This window comes from Homo sapiens, chromosome 15 (genome assembly GCF_000001405.40).
Source record: "Homo sapiens chromosome 15, GRCh38.p14 Primary Assembly".
Classification (NCBI taxonomy): Eukaryota; Metazoa; Chordata; class Mammalia; order Primates; family Hominidae; genus Homo; species Homo sapiens.
In genome coordinates, this window is record NC_000015.10 from 81,079,212 (window position 1) to 81,105,941 (window position 26,730).

General features: G+C 44.3%; 1 protein-coding gene and 1 long non-coding RNA gene across 2 annotated transcripts in view; both read left to right on the forward strand.

The window, feature by feature from the left end:
• Window positions 1-495: 495 nt before the first annotated feature.
• LOC124903540 (uncharacterized) lies at window positions 496-3,279 on the forward strand. Its single transcript, XR_007064734.1, has 3 exons — window positions 496-924; window positions 1,944-2,056; window positions 3,066-3,279. It is a non-coding gene; the product is annotated as an uncharacterized LOC124903540 (long non-coding RNA).
• Window positions 3,280-20,196: 16,917 nt separating this feature from the next.
• The window catches only part of CFAP161 (cilia and flagella associated protein 161), a 49,772-nt gene continuing 43,238 nt past the window's right edge, over window positions 20,197-26,730 (forward strand). The window contains exon 1 of the mRNA XM_006720408.3: window positions 20,197-20,310. The gene's annotated coding sequence lies outside the window, so the exon portion shown is untranslated. The remainder of the gene's footprint in view (window positions 20,311-26,730) is intronic.

The window sequence follows — 26,730 nt, forward strand, 5'->3', positions numbered from 1 at the left end:
AATGGGTGGAGCACACCAACATGGCACATATATACATATGTAACAAACCTGTGCGTTGTGCACATGTTCCCTAGAACTTAAAGTAAAATAAAGAAAGAAAAAAAAAGAAAGAAAAACTACCTATTGGGTACTATGCTCACTACCTGGGCCCAACATACCCATTTAACAATCCTACACATGTGCCCCTGTATCTAAAATAAAAGTTGAAATTTAAAAAAAAAAAATCACTTTAAATGTTTGATTTAGGGGCCGAGCACAGTGGCTCATGCCTGTATCCCAGCACTTTGGGAGGGCAAGGCGGGTGGATCACCTGAAGTCAGGTGTTCGAGACCAGCCTGGCCAACACGGCAAAACTCTGTCTCTACTAAACATACAAAAAATTAGCCAGGCATGGTGGTGGATGCCTGTAATTCCAGCTACTTGGGAGGCTGAGGTGGGAGAATCGCTTGAACCCAGGAGGCAGAGGGTGCAGTGAGCCGAGATCGTGCCAGTGCACTCTAGCCTGGGCAACGGAGCGAGACTCCATCTCAAATTAAAAAAAAAAAATAGTTTGGCTTAAGGTTTTTCTGGACATGCAGATAATATAATTCTGACCTGAGGTCTGCATGTTGTGGGGAAACTTGTGGTTATGAATTCTCAGTGGGACTGTTTTCTTTTTACTTCTTTTTTCCAGAATCAGGCTGAATAGCCAGTTATCCCCGTAAGAGATATAAGGTAAGACATGACCCAGACTATGCCTCAATCACTTGTCATCATGGTAGTGATGACAAGTGATTAAGGCATATTCTGATTTATTTCAGGGGAGACCATTGGCATGAAATGTACGGATCCACACCAGCCTCTGCTTATGGTTCATTGGCTCCCTAAGAGTCTCTTGGCGTCTGCAGTGACTATGAGTGAATAACAGGTCACCCTTCTTGCTTAGTGAGTGGTTAAACTAGATCTAGATCTCAGGAACATGCATTACAAGGAGAAAGGGACCACCAGGTTCCTCAAAAAGTACATTCAACCTGGGCGTAGTGACTCATACCTGCAATCCCAGCACTTTGGGAGGCCAAGGTGGAAGGATCACTTGAGGCCAGGAGTTCAATATCAGTCTGGGCAATGTAGCAAGACCCCATCTCTACTATACACACATACACACACACATATACACACATATTCACATACATACATACACACACACACACACATTCACTGGAGTAGTAGATAAGAAATGATACGAGTGAAAGTCAACTGGGATTAGGAGGTTAATTTGGCTGCTTAGAGATATGGTCTAGAAGTTGTAAGGAATAAAATGTAGGGATGCCGATCCGAACAATTGTCTGATTTTTCTCTAGCTCGGCTTATCCCAGGGTGAAGGAGCAGAGATGGCAAATGCTTTAATTGGTGCCGATATGGGCACGAGAAGTTGCTGATGAGAGAATGGGTTGTGTGGCTGAGAAGGGGGCTCCACCAGTATAAGGAAGGGGGTGCAGCCAGGTGGAAGCTGTAAGGGCCTGAGGTCTTGAGGTATGAGGTAAGAGCTGATGTGGAGGGAGTGAGAGCACTAAAGAGATGGGAGGCTGTCATTTGGATTTAGTCTGAGAGAAGAGAAACAAAGGAGTCACCATGGGTAGCCCTGGAAAGATACAGAGAAAAAAGTGGTTAAAAAAATTAGAGAAGCTGAGATGAGAAGGCAACAAGGTCCCTCTTCAGGAAGCTTTTCATCCATGGTGCAGCCAACCCATTCTTCTTTTACCCACCACCATTTCTGGTCTCCTTGTAGGGACCAACTTCTGTATTGACAGAGATGAGCATGGAGGAGGCTCTCAAGTGCCCAAGGAATAGAAAATGGCCATGCTGTGTGATTCTTGTTCTTCCATCCCTTTGGCCAGTAGTCAAACTGTCACAAATAAAAATGTCATGGACTCCATCTGGCTTCTTCTATTGGATTTTTTTAGGAGTAGAGCAGATGGTTCACCCCGCAAGAAAGAACACTTGAGGTCATTTGCAAGTGGAAAGAGATTTGCATTTGGGCATGGAAAGGGCCGCTAGTATGGAAACATTCACACATGTAAGTTATGCTGAATCCTGTTTGAGGCTTACATGGAGTCTGAGAAGGATTTCCTGCTTCATCAGATTCCCCAGGTGTCATCTGAATGTTCCCAAGTTCTTCAGCTTCATAGAGTTGCTCTTTCATGTAATATGTCTTAGTTTGGGTTCCACCAGAAGTAGATCTTGAGACAAGGAATTTGAAGCAGATGTTTTATTTGGGAAGTGAACAGAGGGGTTGGGGGTAGTGAGACTGGGGAGGGAAGGCAGCCAATTAAAGGTGCTTTATCAAGCCAGCTGTCACCAAGAGTGACTAGAGCTTCACCCAGAGGGAAATGTCTGAAGCAAATGTAAAAGTACAGCTCAGAGTTGGCCCCTCATTAGTGGCAAGGGAGCTGGGGTATTTATATACTGGCTCCCATCAGTCATTGGTTGAGGGTTGCTCTGAGGTGCAAGCGGAGGCTGTGCTTTGATTCCCCTGTTCTTCCATCCCACTGCAATCGTCATCAAAAAGGCTGCAGTGAGAAGAGAAAGCCCCAAACCAGAAAATGAAGGGCCTGGCATTTGTAAACCAGCAGGTGTTATTCACTGAAGTGGGTAAGGTAAGGGTACTACCAACCTCTGCTAGGATAGTCAAATAAAATAGCTGGAACTCATCTACTTCACATGCTGGGAAGTCCAGCAGCCTCTTCAAAAGTCTCAGAGGATCCTGGGGCAGGGAGTGGGAGGACTTGTATTCTCTTGTTTGCTTCTTACTCTGTATTCCTGCTCTTGGTGCATTTTCATCTCTCCATTTGCCAACCCTCCTGCAATGGGAATTGTGATGGCTGCTATTTTTGATTTGCTTTATCAACAGTATGTACAGTTCCTTTTCCTGAAATCCTCAAAGCACCAATAACACTTGTGCAGATAAGGGACATTTACTAAGGAATTAGGAATCATAGAGGGGAATTAGAAAACAGCTCAGACAGATAGCATGCTTCACTTTCTGCTTTTTTTCTACTTCCATTTATTTCATGTTTATTTTGAAGATTCAATGGGCTCATCAATGAGTGTCACGGGAGACACTTAAGAAAATGCTGATGCACAGAAGCTCAGAAGAGGCAATTGCTGCCCTACCTTCACTCTGGACCACTTCTTCACCAGGTACTTTCTAGATTGCACATCACAGCCTTGTAGCTGGGTTCTATTCTCCTTGGGAGAGATGTCTCCATCTTTCCTCTTCTCCAAGGCTTGGAGACCACACCGTCCTTACGTCTTTTTTTTTTTTTTTTTTTTTTACATAGGGTCTCACTCTGTTGCCCAGGCTAGAGTGCAGTGGTGCAATCTTGGCTCACTGCAGCTTCGACCTCCCGGCTCAAGTGATCCTCCTGTGTCAGCTTCCCTAGTAGTTGGGACCATAGGCGCACACTGCCACACCTGGCTAATTGTTTATTTTTAGTAGAGACAAGGTTGATGAGGTCTCACTGTGTTGCCCAGGCTGTTCTCAAATGCCTGGGCTCAAGCAATCTGCCCGCCTCGGCCTACCGAAGTGCTGGGATTTTACAGGCACCATGCCCGGCTCCTTACGTCTTATTCTGTAAGGGAACAATCCCCAAATTCCTGTTCCTATGTTATGCAGCTCATTTTCTATTTAGGCTCACCTTTTATAGCTTAAGAAGACTCATCAACATGTTTTCATGAACAGAAAAGGAATAATTTTCTCGTTAAAAAACAAACAGGCTAGGCGTGGTGGCTTACGTCCGTAATCTCAGCACTTTGGGAGTCTGAGACAGGAGGACCACTTGAGCCCAAGAGTTCAAGACCAACCTGGGCACCATAGTGAGATCTCCATCTCTAAAAATAAATTTAAAAAATACAATGAAAAATAAATAGATAAACCAACTAACCAACCAACCAAACAAACAAAAGTGGGTCAAATGTAGCCAGCTTTTAAAGCAAATTTTTCCTTCCCTATGACAAGTGGCTACAGCGTGGCATGTGGATGAGTGCATTTTATCAATGATACTCTTGCTATCCCTGGTCAGCCACACCATGAGAGACAGGCAGCATGCTTCACTTTCTGCTTTTTTCTACTTCCATTTATTTCATGTTTATTTTGAAGATTCAGTGGGGCTCATCAATCAGTGTCATGGGAGACACTTAAGAAAATGCTGATGCGCACAGTTTCTGATTGATTGCAAAAGACATGGCTTTTGTATTCATTCACTTAACCTTTTCTGGGCTTCTACTCAATGCCAGGGACATTGACAGGTACTGGGGATGCAGATATGACAAGATGGTGTCACTATCCTTCAGATCCTACCGAATGGAAAAAAAGAGAGACACAATTCAGAGAGATGCACAGTGCTCATTTTGGAGTCAGAAGACCTGGGTTTGAGACCTAGGCCTGCTTTTTGCTAATCTCAACACCCTGGAGAAGTCTTACACTTTCTTTGAGGAAGATGTGGTCCAGAAAGCTGAACGTTTACCCTTGACTCCCCACAGGGTAGGGCCTGGAACCCAGGCATACCAGTGCCTGGTTCCACGTTCCTTTCACTGGACCATATGGCTTCTCGCTAGCTGGATGGTCGAAGAGAATTCCCAAAGTAGAAAAACAATTGTAAACATGAGCTTGCCTTTATGCCCAGAAGGCTTACATATCATACAAGTTAAAAGCACACATTTTCTTAAGCATTATTTTTCATGACTATCACTCTGATTAATAAAACAGAGATTTGGAGAGAAACACTCTTCCACTAACTGGGAAATTCATTAGACCAAGGATACCAGTGGCAACTTCATGCCAGCACATTTGTGGGATGTGGAAGAAAACAGAGAAACCCATTTGAAGGATGATTCTAGCTGCACAGCAGCTCCTGATCTGTTTTCCCTGATTCTTACAACTTATGAATAATTTGTTGAACAGTCTGAACTTGTTGTTGAGACATTTTTTAAAAAATCTCTACTCCTTGCCTTCAACTGTTCTATGACAAATCCCCAATTCCTCTTCCTTGTGGCATCTGGGGCAGATCTGAATGAAGCCTTGGTTGAAAAATCATCATATTGAATTTAATACTTTCTTCCTCCTCACTCCACCTGGCTTAGGCCTGCGGGACCTGGGACAGATGAGATTAGATTTCTCTTTTCCCTCCTCTCCCTCCCCCGGGTCACTCTTTTGCATTGTGTTGGGGGCTGGTGCTACTGTGGTGCTCTTTATGTCGATGGTTACTGCTTTTCCACCACGGCCGTTGGGTAGCAGATGCTCAGTGGCAGCCCCTCTGAGGGACTCACATGGGTATCTTGTAGTAGGCCCTTTAGAAAGAAGCCTCTGGCCAGACACGGTGGCTCACGCCTGTAATCCCAGCACTTTGGGAGGCCGAGGCGGGTGGATCACCTGAAGTCAGGAGTTCGAGGCCAGCCTGGCCAACATGGTGAAACACTGTCTCTACTAAAAATACAAAAATTAGCTGGGTATGATGGTGGGTGCCCGTAGTCCCAGCTACTCAGGAGGCTGAGGCAGGAGTATCACCTGAACCAGGGAGGTGGAGACTGCAGTGAGCTGAGATTGGTGCCACTGCACTCTCTCTCAAAAAAAAAAAAAAAAAGAAGAAGAAGAAGAAGCAGCCTCTGATCTGCACGGTTCCCTTATGTGTGAGATGCATGTGAGATGCGTTCTGGCCTGACCTCCTATCAGCTCCACCTTGATGGTGTCTAGAGCTTCCCCTTGCTGCGGTTCCCTCACCTGCTGGCCATTGCTTTTGAGTGGCATAGTGGCAAGAAGGCTTGGTCCTGGCTACTTGTATTGTGCCCACCACTCTAGGACAAATGTACATATCTTTGATTCTCCAAATAGTGGGAATTTAAACTGCCACCTGTTACCCTGCTTTTCATCTGCGATTGTTTCTTCAATTCTCTCTCCCCCGGCTGCTTTAGGCATGGAAGCATGACACCTCTTACACTGCACAATCACTCAACTTAGAGTGAGACATTAGTTCTCCTCCTTTCAAACCACCCAGTCACTATGAAGGGTTCTCTTGGACCACCCATTATTTGGTATGGGGGTTAGAAAACCCCCAGAACTTCCCAAATAGTTCTATGACTTACGATTCCAATGACTCTCCAGATTTCCTCCCCACCACACCCCAGTCCTTATCTCCTTAATACAGAGACTAGAGGGGAAGACGTGGTAATGGGCTCTGCTTCCTCTTAGTCATCTCTGGAGGGGGATGATAATTATTCAGAATGCAAAAGTCTATTTTTTCCTCAGCATAATTCTAGATGCAATAAAAAATCCCACACAACACCCTAATACAATTAAGGTAATGAACAATTCTCACTCTATCAAAGTGATACAGGAATGAATTCAGGGTGATGCACAGATGAAGAGAATGAAGCTTAGGTCTCAGATGCCTTCCCCCATGCAGACCCCTTCCAAGGCCCTGGGGAGGAGCCCTCATAATGTGTTCACATGTTCTTATGTTTTTATACAATTTGAACCAATACATATTTTAAATCACATTTGATTAAGACCACCATTGCTATCCACTCTGGCTTCCCCTCTGTTAATTTCCGCTTGTGTCTGTTGATGTCAGAGCAGCTGCAGGTATATTTAGGATGTAAAATTGGCTTAGAAATACATCTATTAGGTGAAAAGTAATCACAGTTTTTGCCATTTCAAGTAATTGCGAAAACCGCGATTACTTTTGCACCCACCTAATAGTTTGAGTTTGATGGGATATATTTATGTCATTCACAGCCACTTCCATGTAGAGTTAAGTTATTGTTCCCTATTCCTTTATAGGAATGGTTTTTGGGAACACGCCTACCATTCATTGTCTGACTCAGTGCCACCTTGTCACTAAGGTGCAGGGCGGGGGTTGTAGCCCATAGGTACACATCCCACAGCAGCCAGTGCAGGAAGTATGTGGGTACTGGTGGAAAAACAAGGTTTGAAATACATTCAGACTCAGCTTAGATCATCTTCTCATGCAGCTGTAACAGAAACTCCAGTGATCTGTCCCAATTGGGAAAAGAAATTCTGATTTAAAAGTTTGATAAAACACCCTCCTCTGACAAAGACAAGTTCCTCTCATATACAAAAGAAATTTGACTGAGGGTTTTCCAGATTGTATAATTCTAAAACTCTATGCAATAGAACTAATGCGAAGTTGTGAAATGAAAAGAAACCTTTATAATTTATTAAATGGTAATGAACAAATTTTGATCCACCAGGCCAGATGAAAGATTAAATTAGCTTTTTATTCTTGCTACAGAAGAAGATACTGAAAACTGTCATTGTGTGTGAGGAGATCAATGAATAGGCAGCCAAAAATGTAGGAAAAAAGGGTTGTAGAAGCAGTTAATTAGTAAAAATTAGATTTTTTCAATTTATAAATTTGTGGCATTTCTGGCTTTCTAAACATTTGTGATTTGTTTCAGTTTTTTCTCTCATTTGAAAATATCCCTTTCATATCTAATTATATAATTATATGTTGGTGGTTTTATATTCTTTCTCTTAAAGACAGTTTCTTAATTTGTTTAAACTTTAGGAATCAGAAGGTTGGATTGGCTATTGGTCGTCTATTGTGTATTTTGGTGCTACAAGATGTCATAAAGGTGCCAAACTAGTTCCATGCATGTAGGAGTTTTAGGATCTCATTAAAATAGTTTTGTTTTGTTTTGTTTTGTTTTGTTTTGTTTTATCATGGAAGAGAGTTCTAATGAAGTGAGCACTTTTCCACACTGCAGGTGGAAGTATAATTGGCTGGACTCTTTTGGGTTTGATTCTTTTAATGATACGTAACAAAAGCCAAAAATAGTGCATGACCCTTGACCTACACTCCTGAGAATTTATCCTAAGCAAATAATTCATAAGAAAAACAAGCTCCAAACCTCACTACAGCTTTACTTTGTAAAATTTGTGAGGCAGCTTAAATATCCAGCCATCAGGGAGTCATTCAGAAAATGATGATGTCTCAGCCTTCAGTTAGTTCATCAACATGAAAAAAATGCTTACAATATGTTGGGTAACACATTACAAAATGTTTCCCATACGGTGACAACAACATGCCAAAACAAAAAGGTCTGCATTTGGGCAATGACTAGAAGGGAATACGATGGTTGTTATGTCTAAATGATAGGACTAAGAGTTTGTTTTCTTTTTGCTTTTGTTTTCTTTCTGAGATCGAGTCTTACTCTGTAGCCCAGGCTGGAAGACAATGGCGCAATCTCGGCTCACCGCAGCCTCCACCTCCCGGGTTCCAGTGATTCTCCTGCCTCAGCCTCTCAAGTAGCTGAGACTACAGGCACTCCACCATGCCCAGCTATTTTTTTTATATTTGTAGTAGAGACAGGGTTTCACCATGTTGGCCAGGCTGGTCTTGAACTTTTAACCTCAAGTGATCCACCTGCCTCAGTTTCCCAAAGTGCTGTGATTACAGGCGTGAGCCACTGTGCCCTACTTCTTTTTGCTTTTTTTTTCTTTAGTGTCATGTTGAGTTTATGTTTTTTGGTAAAGTGAAAAAAGAATCCAAATGCTTTGGGTGTCTGCTGTCTGGGCTCTCCCCACTTTACTCTTTCCTTTCCCCTGCACTTTCTGATCTCCCTCACCCATGCATGCAGGAACACATACATACACATGCACCCACACACACACACATGCACACACACAGGTGCATTCTCATATACTTTCACACACATGCACATGCTTTCACACATGCTCACACATTCAGACACACTCACATGCCCTTTCTCCAACTTTATTCTCCCTGCACTCTGGGATCTACAGTGTTTGCTCCATAAACAACTCTGGACGGCCTTAACCCCTTACATGCCACTCTGTAAGGGCTGTTTTCTGAGCTCAGTAGTGTCCTACTAGGCATTGTCCAGGTCTCTTCACACTGATGAGTCTACAGGCTGCCCTTGCAGGAGTTGCTCTGATTTCCACCATCACTCTTCCCCGAACCTCTGCCTAACTGCCTCACTGGCCCCCCAAAACCTGTATACCCTAGAACTGCTTTTTGTTTCTGTAAGTTTCCAGAGGACTTCACTCATCTCTGTAGGTTAACTAGAAAGGTTCACAAAACATGTCTGGTATCATCACGGCATGTTGCTTAAAGTGATGGCTTCATAGCTGGGGTCAAATCAACCCAGAGCCTACCTCACTGCTTGTTTGCTACATGACCCAGGAAAATCGCTTTCCTTCAGGTTCTTCTTCTTTAAAATGTAAGAGTTGGATCAGAAGGTTTGTAACATCCCTTCTAGCTCTGATTCCATGATTTATAACCCGTGCATATTTCTTATTAGTTCTGTTTTGTAGTCTGCTGCAGCACTGTGCGATGGGATGGCTGATACTGCCTGGGGAAGTTTTCAGAGGCCGTGGGGGCACAGCTGCTAGGGCAGAGCGTGGGGAGTGTGAGTTTCTGCCTCATATGGTCTGGGGCTCCAGGTCAGCTGTTTTTTATGCAAAGGATGGTATTCATTTTGGCTTTTGAGTGCAGAGAAAATCTAAGAGGCTAAACATTTGTTTGTGGATAAAAATCACGTGCTTAATGGAATAACTTAAGAACTCTTGTGATGCAGGGCCAGACTTCCAGGATGGAGGCAGCCAAGACAAGACAAGGAAAAGAGACTTACATGCACTTTCTAGCAACTTTATTCTCCCTGCCCTCTGGGATCTACAGTGTTTGCTCCATAAACAAGTCTGGATGGCCTTAACCCCTTACATGCCACTCTGCAAGGGCTGTTTTCTGAGTTCACTAGTGTCCTACCAGGCATTGTCCAGGTCTCTCCAGACTGATGAGCCTACAGGCTGCCCTTGCAGGAGTTCCTCCGACTTCCATCATCACTCTTCCCCGAACCTCTGCCTAACTGCCTCACTGCCCCCCAAAAACCCGTATACCCTAGAATGTCTTTCTTTTACTGAAGGCAATGAAGTAGGCTGTAAGCATATATGCTGGGAGCCTAAGAACTCAGTGAAACTTGCGTTTAATGAAATAGTGTGCTTTGTGGATAGGATTGTGGTTACCGAATACAGAATGAAGAAAATGGAAGACCTTTTTTAGGGAATGAGCATTCCTTTATTTTGTAATAAGTGCAGTCTGACGAACTGTGTACGTAAAGTAAGCCTCTGACAGAGAAAAAAGACGAGTTATAAGAAGGGAACTTGGGGAGAGCATAGTTGTAATTACCCTAAAAGTGGGCACCCAGATGAGATGAGAGGGTTGAGGGGAAGTCTGGGATAGCCAGCCATTTAATGACACTGGAAACATTTAGTAGACATTTTTCCCTCTGGTTCTCTACCCCTTACCCTGGGACCAAGATTTATTAAGGATAGGGAGGATCTTGGTCATGGATTTGTACTGAATCTGTACTGGCTCGGGACCAAGAAGGGAGCACCCCTGGTTATGGGAAGGAGTCAATGCTTTTGAGGAACCCATCTCTTACTCTTCCCCAGACTGAGCCAGATAGTTTATTGATTAATTTATTTATTAATCTTTATTGAGTCAGCCTTTATGGTGATGGCTACTGCTGGGGATATAGAAACAATGTGTCCTTCAAGAAGCTCTTGAGCACTTTGATGAGAGTTCTATGACATGAGGTATAGGCAAGAGAGGTAAAGGCAAGATTAGGCAAAGGCTACTTAGGGGAGCTATGTGCACAGCTGACCCCAGGTGAGAGACACCCTCAAGGAGGTGTGGCTCACTAATGCACACATGCTTTCCACCGGGGACAACTGCATTGCCAAGGACAGACAATAACAAGACTCGAAAATAGGACCAGTTGCTGGTAGAGTTATAATTCAAATTCAAGTTTGTATGTAGCAATTGTAACACAAACCTATGTTCAATGCCAAATTCTTCAGAATGGATACAGAAAATCTATGCCCAGTGAGATCATAGGGTGAAATATAAGTAGATTTCTTATTGCATTACTGTACTATTGACCAATTGTTCAACAGCTTCACTGGGGAGAAAACATGTAGAAATGGGCTTGCGTTGTAATGAAATAAAAAACATTCAGGTTAATTGAAGGAGGAAGAGTCATTATTAAGTAACTAAAATGTACACAGACTTTGCTCCAGGAGATCTGGAAGGATGGAATAAAGAACTCTCAGGAGTATAAGCCTGGCTCATGGCAGAAAACTAAATTGAATGTCCTCTAAGTTGAAAATGCAACAGAGATCACTGTGGCCTCATTTTAAATTTTCCACATCATGAGCTTAGGGGATGGAGCCCCAGAGTTAAGAGTTCTTCCCACTCAGTCCAGCAAGAAGTGGCTTGGATAGGAGAAATGTAACTGGGACCATCAGGCATAGGACCTGCAAGAAGCTAAGGGTTAGAATCCTGTCCGCCTCCCAGATACCATGATTCCATTTATTTGAAGTTAAGAATCAGCAAAACTAATCCATGTTGATAAAAATTAGAACTGCAGTTGGCTAAGGGGTGGACTGGGAAATTGACTAGAAAGGGAAACATGGGGGCATTTTCTGGGGGTGATGGAAGTATTCTTTGTCTTGATAGGGGTGGTACCTTTTTCAAAATTCATTAAATTATATGCATGATATCTGTGCATTCCACTGTGTGTAAATTTTACCTCATTAACGATATAGAATTAGTAGGGGAAATTATTTAGAAATATTTCTGAATGGCAAAGCAATGGCAACAAAAGCCAAAATTGACAAATGGGATCTAATTAAACTAAAGAGCTTCTGCACAGCAAAAGAAACTACCATCAGAATGAACAGCCAACCGACAGAATGGGAGAAAATTTTCGCAACCTACTCATCTGACAAAGGGCTAATATCCAGAATCTACAATGAACTCAAACAAATTTACAAGAAAAAAACAAACAACCCCATCAAAAAGTGGTCAAAGGACATGAACAGACACTTCTCAAAAGAAGACATTTATGCAGCCAAAAAACACATGAAAAAATGCTCACCATCACTGGCCATCAGAGAAATGCAAACCAACACCACAATGAGATACCATCTCACACCAGTTAGAATGGCAATCATTAAAAAGTCAGGAAACAACAGGTGCTGGAGAGGATGTGGAGAAATAGGAACACTTTTACACTGTTGGTGGGACCGTAAACTAGTTCAACCATTGTGGAAGTCAGTGTGGCGATTCCTCAGGGATCTAGAACTAGAAATACCATTTGACCCAGCCATCCCATTACTGGGTATATACCCAAAGGACTATAAATCATGCTGCTATAAAGACACATGCACACGTATGTTTATTGAGGCATTATTCACAATAGCAAAGACTTGGAACCAACCCAAATGTCCAACAATGATAGACTGGATTAAGAAAATGTGGCACATATACACCATGGAATACTATGCAGCCATAAAAAATGATGAGTTCATGTCCTTTGTAGGGACATGGATGAAATTGGAAATCATCATTCTCAGTAAACTATCGCAAGAACAAAAAACCAAACACCGCATATTCTCACTCATAGGTGGGAATTGAACAATGAGAACACATGGACACAGGAAGGGGAATATCACGCTCTGGGGACTGTTGTGGGGTGGGGGGTGGGGGGAGGGGGGAGGGATAGCATCGGGAGATATACCTAATGCTAGATGACGAGTTAGTGGGTGCAGCGCACCAGCATGGCACATGTATATATATGTAACTAACCTGCACATTGTGCACATGTACCCTAAAACTTAAAGTATAATAAAAAAAAAAAAGAAATATTTCTGAATGGCCCATACTTCAAAAGGGAAACAATAAATCCTCCGGCTAAAGCCCTAACCTTTAGAGGGTGATGTCAGAAGGAACACCGGAGACTGGACGCCGGAAGACCTGGGTGCTAGACCTGGCTCTGCTGGCCTTTCATGATGGGGAATTCTGTTTTCCTCTTTACCCCTGCTTTGTGTATCACTCAAGGAGTTTTACGAGGAGATCGCTAAGCTCTGACATTGCGAGACACCTTGTCCCTACTTTCTGAGACAGAGGTTGGGCACGATGACCCAGAGGTGAGAGTTGATTTGGTGATTCTTGTGATCTGAATCTCTTCCATATGTCTAGTGTCAGCCCAGCTCAGGGAGCAGAGAACACGGGCAATCTGATACCTCCAGGAAGTCCAATGCTTCGTTGTTGCTAAAATTAGAACCAGGCTGCAGCTTAGATCAAGGCCATTCCTTTCCCAGCCTCACGGTGAGCTAACTCTTCTCCCTCCACCCTGCACCGTACAAATGTGCCGGTAATTATAGCAACATGAGCACCAGATGATTCATCTTGGAGTCTGGAGGAAAAAAGCAGAAACCAAGTTAGAGCTTTACAGAGATCCTGACCCTTATAGACAAGGAGATGAGAGTAGGCAAAAGGAGAAAACAAATGAGACAAGAGGGAAGGAAGAAGGAAAGAAGGAGGCAGAAACAATTGAAGAGAATTAACTTCTTAGCCTGGACAGGAACATGAGCGGAAGACCTAGTTAGTTCCTACTTACCCTTTGCGGCTGTGTTGGCAGCGTACCAAATGACTTCCCCAAGGACAGTGGTCCATTCTTTTTTGAAAAATAACTTCAAAAAATGAAATCATGATCTTTCCTGGTAATGCATTTCAGTAGCTTGCTTGTATCTGTGTGTCAGTACGAATGGAGCTGGAGCTAGGCTTGATCCCAGCTTTGATACAGATTAACCATGATCTCGAGCAATTTACCTAATTGTTTGCACCTCATTTTCTTTGTCATAAAACAGAGAGATCTACCTCAAAGCACGCTGCGCAGCTAAAATAAGGTCAAATATATGAGACTGCCTGGAAGGTTCACACAGGTTGGCCCAACCTAGGTTTAGCTGAAAACATATGTAAAAAAGATTGTCTAATCTAGGTGGTCTTTGTTTCTGCCTCTGGGGATCTTAATTTATCATAGGTATCCATTTCTGAGGTTGTTCTGTGGTAGTTTCTTTATCCTATATTTCTCTAATCATCCACTAGGTTTGCATGCAGATGGCAAGACTAAAAGTTCCTTTCCCTTCTGGTTGACAATGGAGTGGCAGTTAGCTTTTTAGGAGCTACCCTATCTTGAGCCTGTGCTGTCCAAGCTCTCTGTGCCATTTCTTCTGCTGTACGAGGGGATAGATCTGTCCTGCAGGGCTGTTGTGGAGATTAAAAGCAATATCAAATGTGAAGTGCCTAATATAGTGGTAGATACATAATAGATGCTTAGGATGAGAAATGTTTAATAGGATGAGTTATTAGGAATTTTAAACATTAGTTATTTACGCCTGTAATCCCAGCACTTTGGGAGGCCGAGGTGGGCAGATCCCCTGAGGTTAGGAGTTCAAGACCAGCCTGGCCAACATGGTGAAACCCCGTCTCTACTAAAAATACAAAAATTAGCTGGGTGTGGTGGCGGGCGCCTGTAATCCCAGCTACTCAGGAGGCTGAGGCAGGAGAATTGCTTGAACCTGGGTGGCAGAGATTGCAGTGAGCCAAGATAGCACCATTGCACTCCGGCCTGGGCAACAGAGTGAGACTCCATCTCAAACAACAACAACAACAACAAACAACAACAATAAACATTAGTTATTTAATTAGTAAATTTGCTGCCCTGGATTTTTAAGCAGAATAAGAAAACTATTTTTCTCTCCCCTGCAAGGTCCTTTGATGGTCATGCCTTAGTGTTCATGAAGACTGGACTTCCTCTCCTCAGTGGGAGTGATACTCCCCTTGGCCCACCCCGTCCCCTTAGCTCTTACCTTTTCCTGGCACTTTGACCTGACTTCCAACTTCTAGCACCTGTGTCTTTCTTTTATCCTTTTTGCTTGGGGACTGGGGACTTTCCTAGCCACCTGAGCCCACTCTGTCCCCACATGGTTGGAAGTGCTTAGGAATTCGTACTCTTCGCCAGCAATCTTCAACCAATGACTGGTGGGAGCTGGTGGATAAATACCCCAAATCCCTCCCTCCTCAGGTGGGATACAGTTGAGGTTTGTGTTCTGTGTTACCTCCCAGAGTTCCCCAGAGAGATGAAGCCCCAGTTGCCCACAGTGGAAATTTATGTGATGAGGTGCCCTTTGTAGGCTCCTTCCATTCCCCGTCTCACTTCCCTCCGCCCCTACTAGGGTCCTGGGATCGCTTCCCATTCACCTACTTACACTCATTCCTTTTCTCAGAGTTGGCTCCTTGGAGAATTCAACCAAGAAGACTCCAGGGAAGGCTTTGCTTTTGAAAATTAAAGACTCTGAAGGGCAAACTTCTTCTACTGTGTGAGGGGATAGATCTTCCCTGCAGGATGGATTAGCCAAGGGCTAGGGGTTGCAGGTTAATGCAGTGAGAAGAGGGAAATGTCTCAACCCTAGATGATGGGACTTGGATCCCAGGTAAGGAAGCAGCTTCAGATTGATTGGGAAGGAGACCAGGGCACAAGATCACATGCCTTCAAGGGTCAGAACCTCCCAGGGGATATATGTGTGGGTGTCAGTGGGGGACTTGGCATAATATACCGGTCCCTTGAGGCCTAGAGCAAGGTGCCAGGTGGCCAGGTTGGGAGGAAAGGCACAACTGATGGAAGCATCTCACCACTGCAGAGGACTTACCCTGCTGGATGAGTATTTGGGCAAGCAAGAGGGTTTCATCCAGAACCTCACTGTTAGACAGTTGGGGAATGGCTAGTATGCAGTAGTGGCTTTGGGGGAAACAAGAAAAAAACAACAGAAAGATGCCCCCACACAAAGAAACATTGTTTTTGGACACCTATCAGTTGCCTAGATTTCTCTATGTTTGGTCATAGGGAAGAATAGTTGATTTTGGACTTCATGCCAATCCTGGCATATGGAGAGATTAAAACACACCTAATTTCTTTTGGGGAAATACAAGCCTCAGTTTTGTTTTTCACACACACACACACACACACACACACACACACGAGACAGGTTTTTTTTTGAGACAGGTTCTCGCTCTGTCACCCAGGCTGAAGTGCAGTGGCGTAATCACAGCTTACTGCAGCCTCAACCACCAGGGCTCAAGCGATCCTCCTACCTCAGACTCCTGAGTAGCTGGGATGACAGGCATGCTCTACTACACCTGGTTATTTTATTTTTTTGTAGAGACAGGGTCCCACTATGTGGCCAAAGCTGGTCTCAAACTCCTGGGCTCAAGCGATTCTCCTGCCTTGGCCTCCCAAAGTGCAGGGACTAAGACATGAGCCACTGTGCCCGGCCTATGCCTCAGTTTTGTACTTGACTGCCAAGCTCTTCACACTCATAACACCATTCTTATCATTGTTGTTGTTAATAGTAGTAATAATCATAATGGTAATGATAAGAACAATGGGTTGAGGTTTTGCACTCCTGGTGAGGCAGGACTGAGCTGCATCTTTAAGTGACACTCCCTGCACAGTGGTTCTGGTGCCCTCACTTCCGGTGGGCTCCATTTGCAGTGTGTCTTCAATCTTATTGATTGGATGTGTTGAGCAAAATTCAGAGAAAGTGCTTCACAGAACTGCCCTGGCGGGGCTGCAAAATGGCCACACGAGGCTACCCAGAATGAAGCTACGACTTCTAAGCGGGGAAGGGAATACAGAATTACTCTTCCTTCTGGGCATCCTGGCCGCCCCCTCCTCTGACCTTGTGATGCTCTCTCTCTGTCTCGCTGTCTCTCTCTGACCTCTCCCTTCCCCTGGCACTGACTGATAAGGACAACAGAAGTCTGTTTTTGCCAACCTCATGAGGTCTGTGGTGGCCTAAAGTGACTGTGGGGTCTTGACCCTCAGGTCTCACTAGAGTCAGATATACTGAGAGACCAACTTCCCAACCAGAAATAACTTCAGAGAGACAGGACCAGGCTTCCGGAGTCACAGGACTGAGAGAGACTGAGCCAGCTATTTCAGGAGGTCTTCATAACAGCAGACACAAAAACGGAAGACTGAAAACAGAGAGAGAGTTCTTTCTAGACATAAAAGTCTCAAGCTGAAAACCCTGGGGCTATCTCAGCATCAACTCTTGGTGAGGCGCTGCTGTTCCTCAGGTGTGTGGAGACCCAGAAGACAAGTGCTCCCTCTTTTATGCAGAGACAAGCAGCTGTCTTAGAACTGATGATTAGGCTGTGCGCGTGGCTCACACCTGTAATTCCAGCACTTTGAGAGGCAGGTGGATCACTTGAAGTCAGGCGTTTGAGGCCAGCATGGCCAACATGGTGAAACCCCGTCTCTACTAAAAATATGAAAATTTATCTGGGCATGGTGGTGCATGCCTGTAATCCCAGCTACTCAGGAGGTGGAGGCAGGAGAATTGCTTGAACTCGGGAGGCAGAGGTTGCAGTGAGCCGAAATCACACCACTGAACTCCAGCCTTCCAGCCTGGGCAACAGAGTGAGACTCTGAAAAACGAAACAAAACAAAACAAAATACTGATGACCACAGGAATTATATCTGTGTAGCCACAGATGCGAGCCCTTGGGCGTAAGTTTCTCTCTGTCAGTCTAGGTTCTTCCCATCATAAAGTAAGGAGGTCAGTTGAGATGGTCAGCTCCCACCTCTCCTTCCTGCTTCTGAAACTCACAGATGGATACCCCAAGGTGCCCACGTTCTGATTCAGCCCCACCTGAGGCTGGTTCTTTTCTGTCATCTTGATAGTCTTAGAATTCAATTTTCCTGGGGGTCTGGTGTTACCATTATGAACTATCATTCCCTAGGACTCTTTCACGGCCTTCCAAGACACCTATTAGCCTCTCCTTTGAGGCTAACCAGGCTTGGGCATCCGTCCTGATGAACAGGGGGCCCACTGATGTCATCCCTGTGGAGGGACAGACACTGGCTATTGTGGACACAGAGCTCTGCCTGCCTCAGCCCACACTTGTCCCAGCTTTCTGCTTGCTCCCTGCCTCTTCCTGCCTTGAGGTGTTGCAAGCTAGCCACCAGGATCCGTAAAGGAAATCTAGACATGGCTTTTATTTTTTAATTTTTTTTTTTGAGATGAGGTTTCCCTATGTTGCCCAGGATGATCTCAAACTCCTAACCTCAAGCAGTCCTCCTGCCTCAGCCTCCTGAGTATTGGGACCGAAGGCACGTGCCACCATGCGTGGCTAATTTCCTTTTCTTTTCTAGAGATGGGGTCTTGCTATGTTGCCCAGGCTGGTCTCGAATTCCTGGGCCCAAGAAATCCTCCTGCCTTGGCCTCCCAAAGTGCTGGGATTATAGAAGTGAGCCATTACACCCGGCCTGGAGGTGGGCTTTGAGATCGGATATTAAGCAGACTTACACCAACTTTTCTTTCTTTTAGGTTCTCAAGGCATCTCTTACAAATGTAGAGAAAGCCCTGGCTATGGGCCACGTCTCATTTCCTTGCAGAAACCCCTTCTCTCTGAAATACGGTGGAATGTAAGAATTGCCCATCTGAAGACCTTTGTGTCCTTTTCCAACACTGCTGTTGGAGATGCTGCTCATTGTGTGACCTCATGTCTGTTATATAAAGATCCACTTGATAAATTTCTCCTTAAACACAGTGCCAGGAAAATTTTCTTTTTCCAATCGGATTCCAAAGTTATTGTACAATGAGAAGTATATGAGCCAGTGTGTTTCCCTTTTATCCAGGAAACTCAGTGATAAATCCAGGGTTTAACTGTAGTAAACAACATCCCAGGTGCCTTGAAACGTATTGTTCTCTTTTTACTCTAGCTCATTGGTCCTTGAGTTGTGTTCTGTTTTTAATGTTTCCTTAGACTCCTTTGGGAAATAGTAAGGTGTAAATTTTCTCCAAAAAAAATCCATGCATACAAGCACATATACATGAGACAGATGGCCTCTTCCTGTCCCTTTCTTACCATCACCACTGCTATGTCCCCAGCCCAGGCTAAATGCCAGGCACTGGGAATGCAGTGATGAAAGGCGCTGCCTGTGAATGATTCATGGTTAGTCTATTGCAGGGATAAGCTGGCACAGAAAGAACGCGAATGTAAGGCGGAATAGGGTCAGTGCCGACATCAAGGAACAAAGAAAAAGCTAGAGGGGTTCAGAAGGAGAGCAATTGATTCTGCAAAGAGACATCAGAATGTGGAAGCCTTCTGGGATGGAAGGGAATTTCAACTGGACTGGGAAGGATGGAAAGGATTTTGAAGGCAGAGATAGAGGAGGAACATCTCTGACTGAGAAAACAGTTTGAACAAAGACTTGTTCTGGAAAAAAAGTAAATCGTCCTCCACATTTGGCAAAAACACTAACTGAGTTGGTTGGCAGGTAGGATACATGAAGGAGACAGTGGGAACTGAGGATAAGATTCTTTCACATGATATCTATTTTGCAATTTATAAATGGAATTTGGGTTCAAGCCTGTAGTCCCAGCTACCGAGAGGCTGAGGGAGGAGGATTGCTTGAGCCTAGGAGTTCGAGACCAGCCTGGGCAACAGAGCCAGACCCCATTTCTTAAAAAAAAAAAAAAAAAAAGATCTTGGGTTCAATATGTCCTTTTGTTCAACAACCCTGTGAAGTAGCAGAGGAAATAGGATTATTTCCTGTAATGGATCAGGTAACCCGGTTACAGGGCAGTTAATTCATTCTAAGTGACACAGGCTGTAAGTGAGAAAACCAGCACCAAATTTCACACTAATTTTACTACATTAAGTTTCATCTCTGGAAATCAAGAAGAGGTTTGCAGGGCCAAGCTAGTTGAAGCTCACCGTGGACTAAGAATCAAAGTTGGTTTTTTTTTCCTTTCTTTTCTTTTCTTAAGAGGTGGGTGGGGGTGTTGACAAGGAGGAAAGGGAGGAACCCACAAATGTAATTTCAGCAACAGTTCCCTTAACAACGCCCGCAGATGGATGAATTTCCGCACAGTCTGGTTCTCTGTTCCTTTTCTGTTCCTGAAGAGAAACAATTGAGGGAGTGAGGGATATGCAGTGATGTTTATCTTTCCAGCTCTGAACTTTCAAATTCTGGAATCCCCCAGGGTTGGGGAAGGGTGGGTGTAGTCACTTCCCACCGTTGCAGAGGGATGGGAGATGTAGCAACTCCTGTTGGGGCATGGGGCGGGGTGTGTGATTTCCTCCCAAATCGGAAATTTATCTCCCGAATGGGAGGCTGCAGAGAGTCATCAAGGACTTATCTCCAGGAGCAGACACCAGAGAGGAGCCCTGCCCAATCCTTTACCCCAAAGGGGGCGTGCTTAGCCCGAGGAGGAAGAAGAGGGTTTCCAGCTAAGAGTCAGCACCAAGGGCACCCGCTCTCATTCATGTGTCAATGAAGAATTCCTGCCAGACTTCCAGTACTGTCCTCGACCATGGGCAGAATCCCAGCTGCCCCTCCCAGAACACTCCATGCCACTGGAACTCAGGAGCGCAGGTCAGTTCTGCAATTGAAAGCAAAGGGGAATTTTGGTCCTTTCCTTGGATTGAGTCCAGAATTCTGGGATGAACAGCTCAGCTCCTAGAAATTATGCTCTGGAATTTCCAAAAGCTCAACAAATAGCCCCAACATGCAGGGTTGTCTGTTGAGATGAAGCATCCTTTTACTACCCTTAGAACATTACAACAGGAAGGAAGTCCCATCCCTTTTTTATAGATGAGGAAACTGCAGGTTAGAGAGGCTAAATATATATTAAATCAAGCATATTAATTCTAGTATTTAAATTTTCTAAGTGCTTATTTTATTTTAAATCTGTTTTATTAGACCTAAAGGTAGGTAAATCTTCCTCTCCTACTATCTTCCTCCTCACGTATATTTCCAAAGGTTTTTTTTCCCTATATTTATACAAGTAATTAGCTTCCGTCCATTTGTTTCATCACCTATAAAATAGGAATGATCTTTGCCTCATAGATGCATGAGTATTAAAGTACATAAGATAATACATGTACGGCATTTAAAGCAGTTTGCAAACACTCAATAAGTGTTATAAGAGGAGAAAATTTCCACTTAAAACTTCTTCCACCTTCTCTGCCTGTCTGCATCCCAGGTTTTTGGTATAGTCTGGGACTTTTGACAAAGTTTAATGCTCGTTACCATACTGATGTATTTTTTTTCTCCAAGAATTATTTAACATCTGCATTATTTTGAAACTGTATTCATAATACTTATTTCATCTTAGTTCTAAGTTTAAATTATTTCAGTGCTGATTATCTGTCCTACTGTAATACAGTCTTCTATTATAGAGTTCTTTATTTTGACGTACAGATCAACTGCATAGTATTTTTATGGAAAGGTACGGCAGAGGCATATTGAGACCTTACAGATACCTTAGAGTGTCTTTCTATTGCTTTAAATAATGAACAATGGATGACTTCTTGGGGTTTGAAATCTTGCTTTGCAAACTTTCCCCCTCAGAATTTTATGTAGCTGCTGGAGTACACTGAGGCTAGCTCCATTTTTCTTCCATTGCCTACAATTTTCTACATGCCTAGATAATAATAGGCATCTTCCTTTATCCTTGAAATAAAAAAATTATCTACTTTTTATCTCTTAAGAATTCTCATTCTTAACAAAAAGAGGTTTAAGTTGGCCAGGTATTTCCTTTTCCTCTCTCTCTCTCTTTTTTTTTTTTTTTAAGAGACACAGGCTCGCCATGTTGGCCAGGCTGTTCTAGAACTCCTGGGTTCAGGCAATCCTCCTGCCTTGGCCTCCCAAAGTGCTAGGATTACAGGAGTGAGCCACCATGCCTGGCCCCAGAATATGTCTTTGTGTCATCCTTTGGTCCTCACTGGATTTGTCCTCCTGCATGCTAGTAGCTCCTCTCATTTTCCTCCAGGTAGAGGGCTGGCTGGTTAAGTCTGTGTTACTAGTTCAATAACTTGGCCACCAACTTGGCTGGCTTGAGGAAGGAGTTTAGAAAATCCCTAGATGTGTATGCTTGGTTTTGTTTTTGATAATGCTGCTTTACTGGGGCAAACATTCCACATCTCATTTCTGATCAATCCAGCCTTCCTTCTGTGAATGGGTCCTGGCAAGGTTGGCAATGGAAATATTTAACAACCTGCCCTGACTAATCAGGAATAGGCAGAGGTAGTGTTGAGGCAGAGGCCTAGAAGCCCCTCTTGTGCCAAATATTTACCCTTTGTTAAATAAAGGTGGTGGTGGTGGCTGGGTGCCGTGGCCTGTCATCCCAGCACTTTGGGAGGCTGAGTCTATTGGATCACCTGAGGTCAGGAGTTTGAGACCAGCCTGGCCAACATGGTGAAACCCTGACTCTATTAAAAATACAAAAATTAGCTGGGTGTGGTGGCAGGCACCTGTAATCCCGGCTACTTGGGAGGCTGAGGCGGGATAATCACTTGAACCCGGGAGGTGGAGGTTGCAGTGAGCTGAGATCACACCACAGCACTCCAGCCTGGGTGACAGAGTAAGACTCTGTCTCAAAAAAAAAAAAAAAAAAAAAAAAAAGATGGTGGTGGTGGTGGGGTGATTCGTGAGTGATCTGAGAGGGAGAGGCTGGGAATGTTATTATAGTAGGGAGCATGCAGGAGGCTCTGGGCAATAGCTCTTTGCCGACCAGCATGGAAGTATAACAATGCATTAACACTCAAAGAGCCAGCCAGTGCATCTAGTGATGTCAGACTGAAGTCCAGCCCACAGTGTCAGGGACAATTCCTGTGGAGCTGGCCCCCAGGTGCTCTGTCAGTGTCTCTACTTGCTGTTGTCCTCTGGCAGGGATGCTTTGCAATGCTGTTTGATTGCAATGACATCCCCCCAAACTCAGAATCAGGATGGTTGTCTGACATTCTCCAGGAATCTAATCATGTGCCTGGCCAACTGACCTCACTACCTCACTGCAGACTACACCACCACCCTCTTCCAGGACAAAAGGTGTAGCTCTGAGGGTACACTTGGAGACGGCAAGTACCATCTGTAATATTGAACTGAGATTGGCATTTAGTTGTTATTGAATTTCATCATTCCCTGGAATTGAGCCAAAGAGTGGCTCTATCATGTGGCAGCCAAACTGTTAGGAGAATGGTGCCAAGTAGTGCAAATTTGTTCAGCACAAATAGCAATTGTGCTCAGAATATTCTCACACAAGGAGAGGATCAGGAAAAGAGTGGTTCTGATCTAGGTCCCTGAGCTGCTGGGTGAGGGCTGGGTCTGAGAACGTATCAGGACCAGGCCACGTTCACGTTTTCTAGGCCAGTTCCAGCACAAGACCTTTTGCAGAAAATTCAAGGGGAGGTGATCTATGCAGAGTGTTATGTAAATCCAGTCATAGAAGTGGGTCACAGGGCCCAGTGCTGTGGCTCACACCTATAATCCCAGCACTTTGGGAGGCCAAGGCCGGGAGATTGCTTGAGCCCAGGAGTTCAAGACCAGACTGGGCAACATAGCAAGACTTCTGTCTCTACAAAAAAAAAAATAAAAAATTAGTTGACGTGGTGGTGCACATCATTTCAGCTACTTCAGAGGCAGAGGTAGAAGGGTTGCTTGAGTCCAGGAGGTGAAGGCTGCAGTGAGCTGTGATTGCATCACTGCCCTCCAGCCTGGGCAACAGAATGAGATCCTGTTTCAAAAAAATTAAAAAGTAAGCCACAGATATTTTATAGATATGTGTATTTCTTCTGCAGAGGGCAGGCTGGTATCTGTGGCAGGCAAACCCAAAGAGACACCGGCTTAGCTTGCAGATACCTCAAGCCCCAGGACTCACATGCCAGGACAGATGATAGGACAAGAAATGTAGTTGATGTTGGATCATTACGTTGGGTATTAATTTGGAAGGGAAGAATTTGATCTATGGGGTTGAATCAATGAGGAAGTTTTATAGACATAGAACATCCAAAAGATTGATAATAAAGGAGGATTTTGGAGAGTCTGCCAGACAAGCCTTTAAAATGTACCTGGGTTGAAAGACCAAATATCTTAGCCTCACTGAAGGGCAGCCGCTGGAGAAAGAGAAGACCGAGGAAGCACATGATGATGATGATGATGATGGTGATGATGGGCAACTTTTATTGAGCACTTAGTATGAGCCTGGCACTGCTCACGTCAAATTTATATGTATTAACTCATTAACTCATTTACTTGTTGCAGTAAGTGAACAAAATAGATAGTATTACTGTAGTGTTGTGATAAAGACTGGTTTTCATCTATGATTCCTGGCTCATAACTCCCATAACACAAGTTACAGGCTTTTGTTATAATGCTGGATGTGTTTGGCCTCAGGAAACAGAATCTCCTGCCCTCCTTTCACTTGCCCCAAGGCAGGACTCTAGTCTTTCCCCACCCTTCTGATTGGAGTCTCAAGATCCTCCCCAGGGAGGATCCCACCCTATATCCTGGAGAAAGGATTGGGGACCTTATGAACCTTCCATAAAAACTCAAGAGGAAAACAAAAAAAACCCAAGAGGACTGTGAATTTGGGGAGCTTATGAATAGAATAGCTGACCACCTGGAGGTTCCTGGAGGGTGGTGTGCCCAGGAAGGGCATGGAAGCGCCGCGTCCCGTCCCCCATAGCTCGCCATATGCATTTCTTCACCTGTATCCCTTGCAGTACTCAGTATAATAAGCTACTACCTGTGTTTACCTGAGTTCTGTGAGCTGCTCCAGCAAATCTCAAACCTAGAGGGGATTATGGGAATCCCAACTTGAAGCCAGAAGGTCACATGCTCTGGAGGTCTGAACTTGCAACTGGTATCTGGCTTGAGGGGTAGTCTTGGGAACTGAGTCCTCAGTCCATGGGTTCTGACACTATCTCCGGATAAATAGTGTTGGAATGAATTGGAGGGCACCTAGCTGGTGTCCGCTGCTTGGTGAATGGGGGAAAACCCCCTCATGTTTGGTCACAGATGTCCTCTTCTATGTTGATGGTTATTGTGGTGGTATGAGAGGTGAGGAAAAACATGATTTCAGAGAGTTTTTCCCTAAATAATTACTATCCCCATTTTCCAGATGGGAAAATAGAGGCACAGAGAGGAGAACAAAAACTGCTCAAAGGTGACAGAGCTAATAAGTGATGGAGCTGGTTGTCAAGTGCTTTTCCACTAAAGAAAAAGAATGGGCAGCCTTCTAATTAAGTAATGAAAATCAAAATTTTTTTCTGCAAGGCAGAGAAAGTAGCAGTAGAATTCAGCATGGAAAACAGGGACTGGTTCAGTCAAATGCTGCCAGGAGGCATCCACAGACAGGAGCTTTTAGCCAACTTCAGTTTTCGCCTTCAATTTTCCCTCTAGTGCAGTGAAGCTGGGAAGAGACTAGAAAGCTGTGACAGTGAGCATGGGGCAGTAGGGACTGCTTCCTAGGCCTTACCCAGGTCGTCTGAACTGAACAGGAGCGGGCCAAAGTTCTGGCAGCTACTTTAAAGACAGCAAGTATTCCACAAGGAGCTGCAAGGAAGGTATCCTCTCCCATGAGTGGGACTTAGGCTGTGCCAAAGGGATATGGTATCCAAGGGAGTTACAAGGCATCCTTTTGATCTTATTTGGAAGGTTCTAGAAAGATTGCATTTGGATCTCACAGGCTGAGGAAATATATAAAAGAATTCTTTCCAAATATCTTATATCTAAGTCTTAAGTTATTCCAATCTGAAAGTGTGGAAAAATCATCCCAAATGCCACTAGTCAGAGGTTATTTCCAATCCCAATCTGGAAAACATTCTTCCAGGCATCCCTGTAGGCTTCTATACATGGGTATAAAATTTTACATAAATGGCACCTACTGTATATGATATTCTCTAGTTTGCTATTTATATGGCATGTTGGTTTTCTAGGGCTGCTGTAAGAAATTGCCACAAACTTGGTGGGTTAAAACAAGGGAAATATATTCTCCTATGGTTCTAGAGGCCAGAAACCTGTTACCAAGATTTTGGCAGGGTTGGTTCCTTCCGGTGACTCTGAGGGAGAATCTGTTCCATGCCTCTTCTGGCAGCTTCTGGCGATCCTTGATGTTCCCTGTCTTGTAGCTGTGTCACCTCAATTTTTTGTCTTTCTTTTCTTTTCCCTCCCTCCCTCCCTTCCTTTCTCCCCCATACCTTTCTCCCCCCTCCCCTCCCTCCCTCCCTCCCTCCCTTCCTTCCTCCCTCCCTTCCTTTTTTCCTCCCTCACTCCCCCTCCTCCTTTCTCCCCCACCCTCCCCCCTCTTTCTTTCTCTCTCTCTCTCCTTCCTCTTTCTCTTTCTTTCTTTTTCTTTTTTCCTTCCTTTCTTTTCCTTCCTTTCTTCCTTTCTTTCCTTTCCTTCTTCTTTTCTTCCCTCCTTCCCTCCTTCCTTCTTTTCCTCCTTCCCTCCTTCCTTCCTTCTTCCCTTCCTCCATTCTTCCCTCACTCCTTCTCTTCTTTCTTTTCTGAGACGGGGTCTCACTGTGTCACCCAGGCTGGAGTGCAGTGGCCCAATCACAGCTCACTGCAGCCTTGACCTGCCAGGCTCAAGCAATTCTCCCACCTCAGCTTCTGAGCCAAGCAGTCAGTGGCCACTGGAGAGGTTGGTTGGCAGAAGTGGAGGGATAGCAACTTATCTGAGACAAATAGAGGAGGGTTTCCTGCAATTCTGGGGAAACTGAGACCTGCCTATTGCAGCAGCTCATGACTAATGTATTAACACTTCCGGGCTGCTATGAGATCCAGATGGACAGGCATTTGAAGGCTGACGCAGGCAGAAGATTATTAAGTCCACGTGATGTGCAAACACAGGTTTTGGAGGATGGGTAGCTGTGTATTTCCAGTGAATAAAATTTATGATAATATGAGTGTTTGTACTGTACTACAGATGGTCCCAGGAGTGTGAAAAAGAAACTGAACAATTCACTGATGTGGCAGGTGCTTTCAAATATCCCCTTGTCTATCAGGCATTGT